Source organism: Homo sapiens, chromosome 2, assembly GCF_000001405.40.
Source record: "Homo sapiens chromosome 2, GRCh38.p14 Primary Assembly".
Classification (NCBI taxonomy): domain Eukaryota; kingdom Metazoa; phylum Chordata; class Mammalia; order Primates; family Hominidae; genus Homo; species Homo sapiens.
The window spans coordinates 196264530-196279590 of NC_000002.12; the positions used below are offsets into that span (position 1 = coordinate 196264530).

At 39.1% G+C, this 15061-nt stretch overlaps 1 protein-coding gene across 12 annotated transcripts in view; it reads right to left on the bottom strand.

Annotated features, from left to right (window-relative positions):
- The window catches only part of HECW2 (HECT, C2 and WW domain containing E3 ubiquitin protein ligase 2), a 399483-nt gene that overhangs the window by 70458 nt on the left and 313964 nt on the right, over positions 1 to 15061 (bottom strand). For all 12 annotated transcript variants that reach the window (NM_001348768.2, XM_006712646.4, XM_047445197.1 and 9 more), the window contains 3 exons: positions 13999 to 14133; positions 9492 to 9594; positions 6664 to 6760 (listed from right to left, as the gene is read on the bottom strand). In NM_001348768.2, the coding sequence (NP_001335697.1) occupies positions 6664 to 6760; positions 9492 to 9594; positions 13999 to 14133 (335 nt within the window). The remainder of the gene's footprint in view (positions 1 to 6663; positions 6761 to 9491; positions 9595 to 13998; positions 14134 to 15061) is intronic.

Genomic DNA, 15061 nt, shown 5'->3' on the forward strand with positions numbered 1-15061 from the left:
TTGGGGAATCTTTCAAAGTTACATCAGAGAACAATGTTTATCAGAAAATAATTTAACAAATATCTGAGAGTGATACTATGAAAAGAACCTAAACTAATTTTGGCTATTGGAGTTCCTGTTTTGGGCCTTTTAAATTTTAGGTGATTGACTGTCCAGTTGTCTTCAAGTTGACATTAATAGTTAAAAGAGATTCCATGCATCAAAAATGTGAAAATTAGATATATACGTGATATACAATTCAAAAGCATATGCAGATCTATAAATTAGTACATCCATTCAAATAAAACATGACTAGCACTTATTCCTTTTGCAGAAGTCATAGAATAGATGACAGGTTCTAAGAATCTGTGTTCCTTACTGCCCTGAAGAAGAAAGTCTCTAATCTCTTAATAGGCCTACAAGATAATTAGTTCCTTGGAAAGGTATTTTAATATACCTTTGGATGGCTTCTAAAACGTTATCTTAATGATATTGCCATGATATTTTGGCCCTCAGTAATTTCCAGCTAAACCTTGAGCCAGAAGGCTCAGTCCTCAGTCTAGGCATGGAGCAGTCAAGGCTGGTTTTATTGTGTAAATGTAAAATATTTTAGAGTAACGCTCCCTGTAGGAAACAATGTGACAGCACCACTAAAAAGCCCTCCTATAAACAAATTAATAGTTGAATTAAAGATGGCCAGGCAGGGTGGCTCACGCCTATAATCCCAACACTTTGGGAGGCCCAGGAAGGCAGATCACTTGAGGCCAGGAGTTCAAGACTGGCCTGGCCAACATGGTGAAACCCCATCTCTACTGAAAATACAAAAATTAGCCGGGCATGGTAGTGCATTGCTGTAGTTCTGGCTACTCAGGAGGCTGAGGTACAAGAATTGCTTGAACCCGGGAGGCAGAGGTTGCAGTGAGCCGAGATTGTGCCCACTGCACTCCAGCCTGGGTGACAGAGTGAGACTCTGTCCGCTCCCCACCCCCAAAAGGAAAAGAGATCCTAGATCCTAGTTGCATTTAAATTATATCCACAGAATCACACTGGTCCATTTATATGCATGATTAATTTCAGGAATAGTGGTTTTTAGAATTAGAGTAAGTTTAGGGGCAAATTACTTTAAACTGAGTCCTTCTGATAGAACAAAGAAGTGAAGGGCACACTACTAATATAATATTGATTTAAATTTACTATATGCTTACTATGCTTACACAGTATCAAATGGTTTATACATATATTATTTCATTTAATCTTCAAAAAGATGCTGGAAGTTAGAAATTCCGATCCCCATTTTACAGACGAGGATGACAACTTGGAGGTTGTTTAATGTCTCATTCGAAGTCACCTGGTGGGTAAATTGCAGAGCCAGAATTCAAACCTAGGCCTTTCTGGCTCCAAACCTGAACAAAATCTTAAGAGCTATACTCAACTACCTTCTAAGAGCCATTACTGCTGCTCTCCCAGTGAGACAGAGTCTACTATTAGGACTTCCCAATGACCATTACTATGTGGTGTCAATAAATTATTTTAATCAGGTGTCCAGGCACAGTGGCTCATGCCTGTTATCCCAGCACTTTGGGAGGCTGAAGCAGGAGGATCTCTTAAGCCCAGGTATTCAAAATGAACCTGTACAACATAGCAAGACTCCATCTCTATTAAAAAAAAAAAAAAAAAAACACAAAACAATTAGCGGGGCAAGGTGGTGTGCTCCTGTAGTCCCAGCTACTTGGAAGGCTGAGGCAGGAGGATGGCTTGAGCCCAGGAGGTTGATGCTGCAGTCAGCTGTGATCGCGACACTACACTGCAGCCTGGGCAACAGAGTGAGACCCCCTGCCTCAAAAGAAAAAAAAAAAGGTGTCTTTAAAAATTCAATAATTATCCCTATGTAAACTGTCTGTAGGAAAATAATAGTCTCAGTCCAGATTTGCTATTATTTAAGTTTGGTACAGCAAAGATCAGAAGTTTGCCATGTTGGTCCAGACATCTGAGTGATAAGTAAACAAATCAGGAGAGGACTAAGGGAGAGAGCTAGGCAGGTCTTAACAGGAAAATGCATATGGATCATCAGAAGTAAATTCATGCTATTTTCACCAAGTACTTCAGTTGTTAACCAAGACTAACATTTCCAGTCTAATATTATATGCAGAAAAATTCATTTGCCACAAAGCTAGAAAAGAAATAGGTTAGCAATTTTGAACACTAGGGTTTATCTTAAGAAAGATAGCTTTTGAAACTTTAACTTTTTATTAACTAAAATTCTGTATTGTTTGATAAACTTCAAAATGGGCCATTATTTTTAAAATAAAAAAATTAAGAGTAAAATTAAACTCTAACAAAACCCCAGGGCTCTTCAAATAGGATAATGAAAGGAAATAGAAGGTTCAAGTCTGCATTTGCCTCTAGTCTGGTGAATCCTGAGACACATATCCATTTGCCTTTTGTGGTTCAGAATTTCTTGACTCCCAAGTTACTGATTTCCTGATAACATAAAATATGGAATGATCTAATCTACCCAGAATGAAAAAATTATCACAGATCATGTCCTCATGGTGAGGGGAGTTATATAGGAAGCACTCAAGGAGGAAACAGCCTGCTGCCAAAAATAATCACTGGTGCCTGGGGAGAGCTGGACTAGTAGGGAACAGATTTACTGGCTGGACTTAATAATCATATTAGAGGGGAAATTCTCAACTCTTAACTCAGGTTCATGGCCTTTCTCATTACATAGTGCTATACAAACACCAATACTAAAAATTTTATTGAATTTTTAAATGTGCATTACATTCACCTATAAAATACTGTTAAAGGTTGTTTTCTAATGAATATATTTGTATTCGTATAAAATGTTAGAACTTTTTTTCAGCTTTTATTTTAGTGTCATAGCATACAAACATCTTCTTTCAGTGAGAACCAGTAGTAGCATATAATAATGCCATGGGGACACTACCCATTTTACAGATGTGGTACTGACGTTTGGAAGCTGATTTTTCTAACAGGGGAAATAAACATCTCCTGAGGTTTGTTTAAAAAAAAAAAGGACAGCAACTTAGTACCATTCACATTTGCGTGATAAATGAATTTATAGGGAGCAGTGATTTAAATACAGCAGTTGAAAGTAAAAGCCATATCACAATGCATGGAAAACCATAGCCACATAGACAGGAAGACACACCAGTGAAGTCTCAGGGAAGAGAAAACTATACATAGATGCAAACTAAATGAATTGCCTGCTATCCTCTGGCTTAGGATGAATCACAAGCAAACCAAGAAAACACAAAGTAAAGAGGTATACCTACTTCAATCTCTCAAGGGCTACCACTTTTATCATTATATTATGGGAAAAATAAGAAGGAATATTTATCTTAAGTGGTGTGCCACAGATGAGAAAGGACATATGCCAAGCTATGTTGGTACTGGGAGTCCTTGCTCCAGGTATGAATATAAGGTCCACAGTGAACTTTGACACATAGATTACTGAGTGGCTCCATTCCATGTATAAATCTGTTATCAAAAATATCATTGAAATAGGAAATTAAAGAAGTTCAGCCTATTTCCCACCCCTGTGTTTGTGGGAATGCTCCTCACAACTATATAAAACAGAATGTTCTCTTAGATATACAAACTTCCCCTTTACGATGTTATGATAAGCAAAATATTTAACTCCCAAAAACTTGACAGAAAATGAAAGTGCAGTGTGACACACACTCTGGATAGGAGGAGTGGTATTATCTCATTGATTTACTTTTACTTATCATGACAGCATCTGCTTCCCATGGTCACATTCTGTAAAGATGGAAATATATTTCATAGCCTATCAAATAATTGCATAAAAATAGATTACCATGTGAATCCTATGTTAGAAGAAAGATTATGCTTAACTGAGGACTCTAGATGCCACTAAAAAAAAATCTTCAACATCTTTAGGAGATTAGAGACTTTTCAGACTCTAAAAAGCAGAAAGAAAACAAAACAAAACTTGAAGCTACCAACTTGGGCCTGCAGCTTTTCCCTCTGTTAGGATCTGTTAAGATTCTGTCAAGTCATTAAAGACTAATGACAAATGCCCTGTCCAGGTAGATTAGATCACCTAATCTCTCTGATGGTGGAGATTTAAAGATATGTTAATTCGTATTACACACTAATGTGGAACGCAGAGAAAAAGTGAAAAACTTCTTGAGTTTCCTGTTTTGTGGGGGATGGGGTACACTTAGAGGAACAGATATTAACTAGTGGCATGTGTTGGTTGGAAGTGGTAGAAGAGAGAGAAAATAGAGTTCCCTTTATTTTGTGATTAGCAAAAGAGGAAGAATTTTGTTTGTTTTGCTTTGAGGTCTAGGATTGCTAACATTTCTAATTAGATCACTGAGGGGCTTGTTTCTGCAATTTTTTAGAACTAAAACTTCTTACACAAGATTCTCTAGGGGAACGTGGATTACTGAGTGGATGCCATAATAAACAAACATGCAAAATCTTCACTTGCATAATTATTATAATTTTTCCGTGGTTAAGAACAGCATGCTTATGTTGGGGAAGGCACTAAGAGTTGAGTCAAATGTTATTAACCATGTGAAACCAGGTGAAACTGGGATTTTTATATACACAGTGTTTATAGTATAATACTTGAAATTTTTTGTAGCTTTAGCCTTTACAAACTTTAGAAGGTAATGACAACTTTAAAGACATGAGACCAAGGTCAGGCACAGTGACTCATGCCTGTAATCCCAGCACTTCGGGAGGCCGAGGCGGGAGGATCACCTGAGGTCAGGCATTCAATACCAGCCTGACTAACATGGTGAAATCCCGTCTCTACTAAAAATACAAAAATTAGCTGGGTGTTGCGGTGGGCACCTGTCATCCCAGCTACTCGGGAGGCTGAAGCAGGAGAATCGCTTGAACCCGGAAGGCAGAGGTTGCAGTGAACCGAGATCGCACCACTGCACTCCAGCCTGGGCGACAAGAGTGGGACTCCGTCTCCCCCTACCTCCAAAAAAAAAAAAAAAAAAAAAAAAAGACATGAGACCAAGAATATCGTGAGTATATTTGGTAATTTATTTTCAAATCGACAACTATATACATATATATTTTTACATTCAGTATGTGCAAAATGCTATTCTAGATATTTGAACAGTAAGGAGGAAAAATAATGATGAGTTGGATAAGATCCCTATTTGCAAGGCTCTTAAAATCTAATTGGAAAATAACGCATAAGGACTTGAAAAGTCAAATCAAAACACAAAAGTCATAAAGTCAAACCAGTACAAAGGACAATGTGATACATTTCATGACTCATGATCAAAATAGTGTCAAGACCAAAGGTTATTGCAGCCAACTGTGCCATCAGAATTATACAGAGAGGTTTTGAAAAAATAATTCTTAGGCTCTACCCCAGACCTCTTGAATTAAATTTCTGGGTAGGGCATGGGAGAACAGGGGTATAAATTCTGAGAAGGGAGAGGAATTGGAGGAGGCATGACCTGGCATTTTGTATTATATAAAGCTTCCCAGGTGATACTGATGAAAACAGTTTGGCACAACTTAGTGGATCAGTATTTGGGAATCACTGCTGTGGGCCAGGATGGTACCACCAGGCAAATATACTTCTACCAGTAAAGGTGACAACTGGACTTGGGGTTAAGAAAGATTTTCAGCAGAAACTCTTCTTTTCCTATTCCCACTGATGCCTAGCACACTTAGATAGAGAAATACTAGCCTAGATCATGAAAGTGAGAGTCCACAGTGGAGTTGAAAGATTTCAAGGAGGGAAAGCTTCTGCTGGGTTTTAGTGGAAAAATCTTGCTTCCCAAACTTAGAAGGAGAGAAAAGCTTGCCAGGGAAGGGGAACAGCATGTATTCAGGAAAGTAAAACTGGGCTTGAGAAATGATGTTTTGAAAAGTTGTTTAGAAGAGAGGGCTCATGCAAGGTGAGGCTCAGTTTTAGAGAATATCAGATTCCCTACTTAGGTTCTAATCTGTTTTTATTATGGAAAAATGTGAATACCAAGTCTGGAACTCTATATATCTCAGTTCAATAAACTGTATGCTACTTTTGCTTACTCAAGTTACACTCAAAAAGTTATGTCATTAATTTCATTATAATCTGCACTTCTAGGATAAACGCTTGGCTTAAATTTTTTTTTCATATTTCGTTTTTTAAATAGGGTTCTGGGTTGTTTAGTTGATTTTATTCACCTTTATTTATTTTTTTTTTGAGACAAAGTCTCACTCTGTCGCCAGGCTGGAGTGCAGTGGTGCAAATCTCAGCTCACTGCAACCTCCACCTCCCAGGTTCAAGCGATTCTCCTGCCTTAGCCTCCCGAGTAGCTACAGGCACACACCACCATGCTCAGCTAGTTTTTGTATTTTTAGTAGAGACGGGGTTTCACCATGTTGGGCAGGATGGTCTTGATCTCTTGACCTCGTGATCTGCCTGCCTCGGCCTCCCCAAGTGCTGAGATTACAGGCGTGAGTCGCCGTGCCCGGCCGATTTTATTCAACTTTTATACTTAATAGAGAGAAGCCAGCACTACAATACCTGGTGATGATGACAAAATATTTGCATACAAGATGTTTTGCAAAGGATGTCAGAAAGAAAGAATAAATTTCCAAGACAACTATCAGTAAAACTAAGATTTAATGGTTTGTGCTTATGCAACTTGAACCAAATACCAATATTATTGTTACCTGAGTGAGTGATTCCTGGTAAGATCAGGTTGACGCTCCTGTAGAATTTCAAAGATATTGGGTTGACGTAGAAATGCAACAATCTTGTCATTGTAAGCTGAAAAAAAAATCAGAAAAGACAACAATTTAAAAAAGAATCTATTTTTAGTTTTATGTATATAAATCCAAACCTGTGTGCCCCACCGGGTTCAAGCAATTTTCCTGCCTCAGGCTTGCAAGTAGCTGGGATTATAGGTGCCTGCCACCATGCTCAGCTAATTTTTTTTTGTATTTTTAGTAGGGATGGGGTTTTGCCATGTTGGCCAGGCTGATCTCAAACTCCTGACCTCAGTTGATCCACCTGCCTTGGCCTCCCAAAGTGCTAGGATTACAGGTGTAAGCCACTGTGCCCGGCCTATAAATCCAAACTTTTCAAAATCATCTGTTTTTCAGCCAGGCATGGTAGCTCACGCCTGTAACCCCAGCACTTTCAGAGTCTGAGTTGGGAGGATCACTTGAGCTCAGGAGATTAAGACCAGCCTGGGCAACATAGTGAGAACTTGTTTCTATTGAAAAACAACAACAACAACAAAAAATAAATAAATGAAATCTGTTTTTCTGGCTAATATTACTTATACTCAAAGTTATAGTTTGGAACTAGACTGTGCCCACCACTATAGGTGCTTACATTCCAATTTGTATCTAACCTTTTATATGATTATTGGACTTAGGTCTGTTAGCTGTGGCTTAGTTAAACATTCTTAGTAAACTCATTTGACAAGCCATATTTATTATCAAATGGCAAGATGAGGTCACCAACGAGATTCTAGATCTTGATCATTTAAACTTACGAAAATCAGCCTCACAGAAATGACAAGTCAGAAATGAAAAACCATCTTCTGATTGATTAGCAGCCAGCCAGGGAGGTAAAGAGGCAGAACTCAATTTGCCAAAATGTACTAGTTGGCAGCAACAACTAGGACCAAAATGCAGAGGACAAACTATTCTAAAACTCTACGTGGAAATAAATGCCATTAAGCCACAAATAGCTCTTTACCAAACCAACTATACCAACAGCTACAACACAATCATCATCACGAACCATGAACAAAATGTGTTTAGAAAAATCTAAATCCCAGTCAAGGTTGGCTAAAGAAACTTAAAAATAGTTAATTAAAATTTATTAAGGATACCGTTAATACTCTTTTGTCAAGAAAATGAATTTGTTTACTTAAGATGATTCATCTTGATTATATTTGTTGATAATCATAAATAGGCACAAATATATTTAAATTCACAGAACTAGGACAGAGTGTCTAAATTCTTAAACATCAGAGATTCTGGTATAGGATATTATCAAGATACATGCCTTTCTTTAACAAATAATTAAACAAAAGAAGTATAATAATTCTGTAGAGATCTGCCATTTCCAATCTTACCTGCATCATATTGCCTATAACATATCTATTTTAGTTATGTATATTTATATATACAATAACAATTTTAAAGAAATACTACCTGCTAAAATGGAATACCATTGTCAACTCAAATGTTCCCTAAGTGCACGTTTCACTATATATGAATAATGAAGACACTTGGATAATTATTGAATCGGGGTTTATAGTGCGTCTGAGCTCAGAGCCCACATAACTGTCTAAGCAACAATTTTATAGTGCTTTAAAATTCCATGTGCAGTATTTAGTGTCATATTAGTAATAACATAAAAAAAAACCTAGACTGTTAGACTTCAACCCTACATTTCTTCTTATCCAGAGGTCAAGCTTCTTAGGTCATGGGCATTACATTGAATTTCATGACATTTTTTTTTTAATTTAAAGAAGACGTTTTAAAACAAAGATAAATGGAGAGCTGGTCTAATTTTTTTTTTTTTTTTTTTTTTTTTTTTTTTTTTTTTGAGATTGGGTCTTGCTCTGTCCCTAGGCTGGAGTGCAGTGGTGCAATCTCGGCTCACTGGAACCTCTGCCTCCCAGGTTCAAGTGATTCTCCTGTCTCAGCCTCCAGAGTAACTGGGCCTACAGGTGCGTGCCACCATGCCTGGCTAATTTTTTGTATTTTTAGTAGAGACGGGGTTTCACCGTGTTAGCCAGGATGGTCTTGATCTGTCGACCTTGTGATCTGCCCATCTCGGCCTCCCAAAGTGCTGGGGTTACAGGCGTGAGCCACTGCGCCCAGCCAACCTAGTCTAATTTAAGACGGAGCACGGAGCCCATATGGCCTCCCACCAGTCTGTCCACTCCACCTGCCTCAGGCGCTCCAGGTTTGGCAACCACTGATCTACTTCAACCTCATCCTTTTAATAACAACTCAAGTTGTTTTTCAGGCCTTTCTCCCACACTCATTTATTTTTATTTTACTATTTTAGAGGTTCTTGCTGCCTTCTATTTGTGACAAAAGCCCTTAAGAATGTGCTCTCTTTGATTGTTTATTTTGTGAGGCTGCTACAGATTCACACACCATTTAAATTCTGTCTTGGCCTTAAATATATACTAAGTATATGCTAGTCCAAATTCTTAATTTATAATGATTGCATAATGTATTACCTTAATAAATTATTTTTCCTTAACTTCAATAATCTAATATGATACCTCTACTCAGGAAAGGTAGGGTGGTATTAAAAAACAATCTCATCCTTTAGGATATTACAAGACAGAAGCCCTTTGAGACTCAAGTCTGTAGGATTTTGTTATACATTTCTTAAGGATAATGCAGCAATTTCTCAATATAGGGCAAAAAGTAGCAGGCTAACAACAGGGGAAGTATCAGCACAGTGTACATGGTACAGATAATGGCACAAAAGGACAGATGATTTCTGGAAAGGGATGACATACCCACTGGAACCATGTCCTGGTACTGTGGCCTACTGACTGTATTGAATGTACTGGATGGCCTGGGAAGAACTGGTGGTCCTGCATGTCGAGAATCTTCTCCTACCTGCAAACAGAAGCATCATTTATGTTCTGCACCAAGAGCCAGAATGCTCTATATCAGCATCCCAAACCAAGTTGTTCAAAATATTAACAATGAGCATAGTGAAGTACCACTTGATCAGAACAGATACCAGCTGTGGGGCTGAAGCAGGGTTCTTAGTTATTGAAAGCCTTGTTTTAGTGGCTAAATGGTGGGGGGAGTTGAGGCATCCACATTCTTGAGAGGGGCTGGGGCAGTGACTCTTTACCAAGTGGCACAGAAGTAGTTCAATCTGCTTATAATTACTGAGGCTGCAGCAGCTAAACAGCAGACTTGTTCATCAGGACTAACTTCTGCATTGACAGAGCACAGTCTGCAACAACACAATCAAAGGGAAGACTGAGTGGTATAAATGTTTTGGGGCAGTGCCAAGATATTTCTTCTTTTGGCTAAGGCAGGCCAGGGAATTCCCTGGCTCAGCAGAGGAGGGGTTGAAGAGCAGCAATCTTCATGTGGGGTTTCGAGTTAGTGTATTATCTCCTCAGGAGCAATTCTCCATGCCTATTAGAACACCTGGTACAACAGATCTTTCTGGTTTGAGCCTCCCACACCAGGGTGCTAATAGGAGCAGGTGTGGAGGAGCTAAATAGGGTTGTCCTAACCAGAATTATTTATTGCACCTAATATAGATTTAGAAACTCATACACACAAGTAGATAACCAAAAATACCCATTAACAGCCTTACCAGAAAACTCTAATGTTGTTTTTGCTTCTGCTTTAGCATTTTCCCCCATATTACAGAAATCTTTTGAGACAATAGCAGAACAGCAGTATAAGAGAGAATAAGAAAAAATAACACACTGTACTGGATTTATAAACTGGGATTTTGAAAAGAGAGTTTTATTCCACCCACAACCATTTGCAGCCCTTTTATCATGTTGCATCACTTGGGTATTTGCTGAGGATTTTTCTAAAGACTCTAATGCTGGAAATATCCTCCCCACCCTCCACCGCTTGCTTGTCCTTCAAGAATGCTCTCACTCATTCTTCAAAGCGTAGTTCAAACAGCCCCTCCTCGACAAGGTCTTCCCTCTCCTTCAAGCCCAAGTTAAATACAACCTCCTCTGAGCTCCCACAGAACAAACAGAACAAGCAGCTGCCATTGTGAACAGTTTATATTATTTGTCAATTATACCTCACTAAAGCTGGAAAGATATAAATAAAAAGAAGAAAACATGATTATCTAAAGGTATATTTTTCTTTCCCAACTATTAAAAAAGAAAATTTACAAAGCATTTTTCGTTCATATTTTTATTCATTTGTAGTAGGGTTTCATATTTTCCTTTCCTATTAAGAATGCGGGAAATGTGTGGGCCAGGCACGGTGGCTCACACCTATAATCCCAGCACTTTGGGTGGCCAAGGCGGGCGGATTACAAGGTCAACAGATCGAGACCATCCTGGCCAACATGGTGAAACCCCATCTCTACTAAAAATACAAAAATTAGCCGGGCGCGGTGGCAGGTGCCTGTAGTCCCAGCTACTCGGGAGGCTGAGGCAGGAGAATCTCTTGAACCCGGGAGGTGGTGGTTGCAGTGAGCAAAGATCGCACCACTGCACTCCTGCCTGGCGACAAAGCAAGACTCTGTCTTAAAAAAAAAAAAAGAATGCAGGAAATGTGTTATTTATTTGCATCCCTCATAACAGCAACCACTATGTTTCTTCATTGTAGCAGGTGTTTGGTGTTAACTTGTTAGATGGAAAAGACATCAATATTTCTACTGAATGGAATATTTGCTGAAGGAATATAAGACAGTGGCTCAAATGACTCATGTATGTAACTAGAAGTCTTCTCATCCTGCTTCTCTTGAGTTACTGGCTTTGAGGAATGAATACAGCTATTCTCTGGGGAGATCTGATCACTAAGTACAGATTGTTAGTCAGATAACTTATCATTTCAACACTCCAATATATACTTTCTCTCCTCACAGTATGTTGCCATGTCTCATCATTTCCCAGAAAAGCCAAAGGTCTTCTCCCTAAGACCTCAGTCTTTGCAACCAGACCAGCGGACAGTGGGCAATCCCTCTGATGGGCAGCACTTCAGGATGTGCATGCTTCCAACAGCTGTGTCAGAAAGGACACTCCCCCGGAAGGTTTAACAATGTGGAGGGCTGGACACTCAGTCTGTATGGACTTATCTCTGGGCCACTGCTCAGTTTCCAGCCATAGGAGGAAAAGTCTTAATGTATCCCTTAGGGTCCCTCTCTCATAAAGGCTACTACTACTAGACCATGAAAATATTCATGTTTTAAGGTAGAGGGGTTGAAAGAAAATGAAAGTATAGCTATTAATCTCATGCATGTTTTCCCAGAAAAATAGTCCTAACTAGACCAAACAGCCAGCTTCATACTGTGAAGTCATGATAAGGTGAGTGGTTAAAGGGCACGGGCTATGCAATAAAATATCAGACAGAGCCCTAATTGTGCTACACATCGCACACAAGGTCCAAAGGTGAGAGGTCTGTTCTGCTTTTAAGATGAATGTTGTTAGTGCCATTCAGTTCACCACTAATGGGTTACATGACAGCAAGGTAAAGATTTATTAGCTACTCATAAAACAGAAAAATTTTTGCACATACCTCATCCTGTAATATATTTGTATATCATTTTTATATGAGCTTCTCATGTGCACCCTTCTATATCTGCACTTACAACCAGCAAACACATGATGCATTGGAGCAAGTATATAAATCACGAGGGGAAATTCCAAGAGTAGAATTTTGATGAATCAGATCCAGTTATTTATTGTATTCATATTTTTTCTTATACAAAATATATGGCTACAAAGATATTTGATGTACAATATAATACTGAAAATATGACATGCACATAGACACAGAAAAGGCATGTAAAGGTGGGTAAAGGATCCAAATTCTATTGTCTAAGGGAATTTTCAGAAACAATGTAAATCAAGTGATGGTATATAATCAAATCATAAGCCCATATGAAGGAGAAGAAAACTTGACTTAAGACATTTCTTTTATATATTGAAGCTGCAAAAGGAAGAACTGAAACAAGGTTTGTTCTTTTTTTTGGTTAGGATATTAGAGGGCCCTCGTGTGGTTACCATTGGTCCCTGCAAATCGGTAAAGTAGAGCAGTTTTTAGTAATTCTTAGTTCAGCCCTTTTTCTCCAGGCACATAAAGTATATAAATCAACTCTCTCAAAAATATCCTAATTTTAAAGAATACTAGTGAGGATTCCATAATCCCATATCCCTGGATGGATATTTTAATGTAATATAGAAAACTTCACTTAAGAAATTCTATCATCTCATACCAGTTAGAATGGCAATCATTAAAAAGTCAGGAGACAATAGGTGCTGGAGAGGATGTGGAGAAATAGGAACACTTTTACACTGTTGGTGGGACTGTAAATTAGCTCAACTATTGTGGAAGACAGTGTGGCGATTCCTCAGGGATCTAGAACTAGAAATACCATTTGACCCAGCCATCCCATTACTGGGTATATACCCAAAGGACTATAAATCATGCTGCTATAAAGACACATGCACACGTATGTTTACTGTGGCACTACTCACAATAGCAAAGACTTGGAACCAATCCAAATGTCCAACAATGATAGACTGGATTAAGAAAACGTGGCACATATATACACCATGGAATACTACGCAGCCATAAAAAATGATGAGTTCATGTCCTTTGTAGGGACATGGGTGAAGCTGGAAACCATCATTCTCAGCAAACTATCACAAGAACAAAAAACCAAACACCGCATATTCTCACTCATAGGTGGGAATTGAACAGTGAGAACACTTGGACACAGGAAGGGGAACATCACACACCGGGGCCTGTTATGGGGTGGGGGGAGGGGGGAGGGATAGCATTAGGAGATATACCTAATGTAAATGATGAGTTAATGGGTGCAGCACACCAACATGGCACATGTATACAAATGTAACAAACCTGCACATTGTGCACGTGTACCCTAGAACTTAAAGTATAATTAAAAAATATATATATATATATATAAAGAAATTCCACATTTAACCAAGTTATATTCATTTCTTCCTGTGAGGCTGAAAATGGGTGTGCAAATGGGCTTATCATCTTCCTGTCTCGAACATTTTAGTACATTATCAACACCCTCTCACCTTCCTCTGAGTCAAAAAATCTTAAATTTCGTCAGTTTTGCCTCATATATCCTACCTTTTTAAATTTGTGATTTAGGCTGTATGTATTTCCAGAGAAGCCCTGTCAACATTCGAAAGCTTTTCAGCCTCTAAATCAAACTCAAAAAAAAAAAAAAGAAAAAATGCTTTAAAAAAATCAGTCAAATTCCTCAAACCATCACATACTAGAAGCTTCTATCAACCAACAGGTCAGTCCCCAAAACGCATGACTCACCTCACCCGCACTGTGGCTGCGTTGCCTTGTCAGGTGTTGCCGATGAACCAGCGCACTTGTGGGTCTACTGCTCTGAAGTGGGAGCCGGGGATCAATGAAAGTGGTGGTGCGGGAGTTGTGGTCCACAAAGAATGCCTAGGATACAATACACTGAGTCAAATACATGCCGCTCACATGTCTTAGCTGACTTATAACATCAGACGGTCAGGAAAAGACTCACTTCTGAGTCACAATCTTAGCTCTATTTTCTCATAATTTTCAATCTTTGGGGAAATTTCTCCTTACCCACACAGGACAGATCAGATTAGAGAAAGCCAAGCTTAGATGAGATCCAGAACGAAGAGAGCAGGAAGGAACATTATGCCTGGTTTTAGGAAATGCTCCACGAGATAGTCACCAAAGACATGATCCAAGAAGGAAGCCAGAAGAATGGACATTTAGGCTTCTCTTAACTGATGGTCTTTGAGCTCTTACTGTCATATGTGGTTATTATAAAGTTCTTACCACCTTGAAACTTAAAAAAAAAAATTTTTTTTTTTGAGACGGAGTCTCGCTCTGTCACCCAGGCTGGAGTGCAGTGGCGCGATCTCAGCTCACTGCAAGCTCCACCTCCCAGGTTCATGCCATTCTCCTGCCTCAGCCTCCCGAGTAGCTGGGACTACAGGCGCCCACCACCACGCCCGGCTAATTTTTTGTGTATTTAGTAGAGACGGGGTTTCACTGTGTTAGCCAGGATAGTCTCAATCTCCTGACCTCGTGATCTGCCTGCCTTGGCCTCCCAAAGTGCTGGGATTACAGGCGTGAGCCACCGCGCCTGGCCGAAACTTTTAAACATCATTGACTTCTCTTCTTTCTTCCTTCTCCTATACAGTAAGCCACAAAATCCTTCTCATTTTCTCACTGTAGTGTCCTCTATTTGTCCCCTCCCAGCCTGAACACCACCCCATTATTTTGGGACTTTATTTTATGTGTGTAAGTGCTGGTGGCTTCTCAGCTGCTCCACATCTCTATCACCATAGTCATTTAACTGGCCCGTTACTATAAGAATATTCTTTCTAAACAC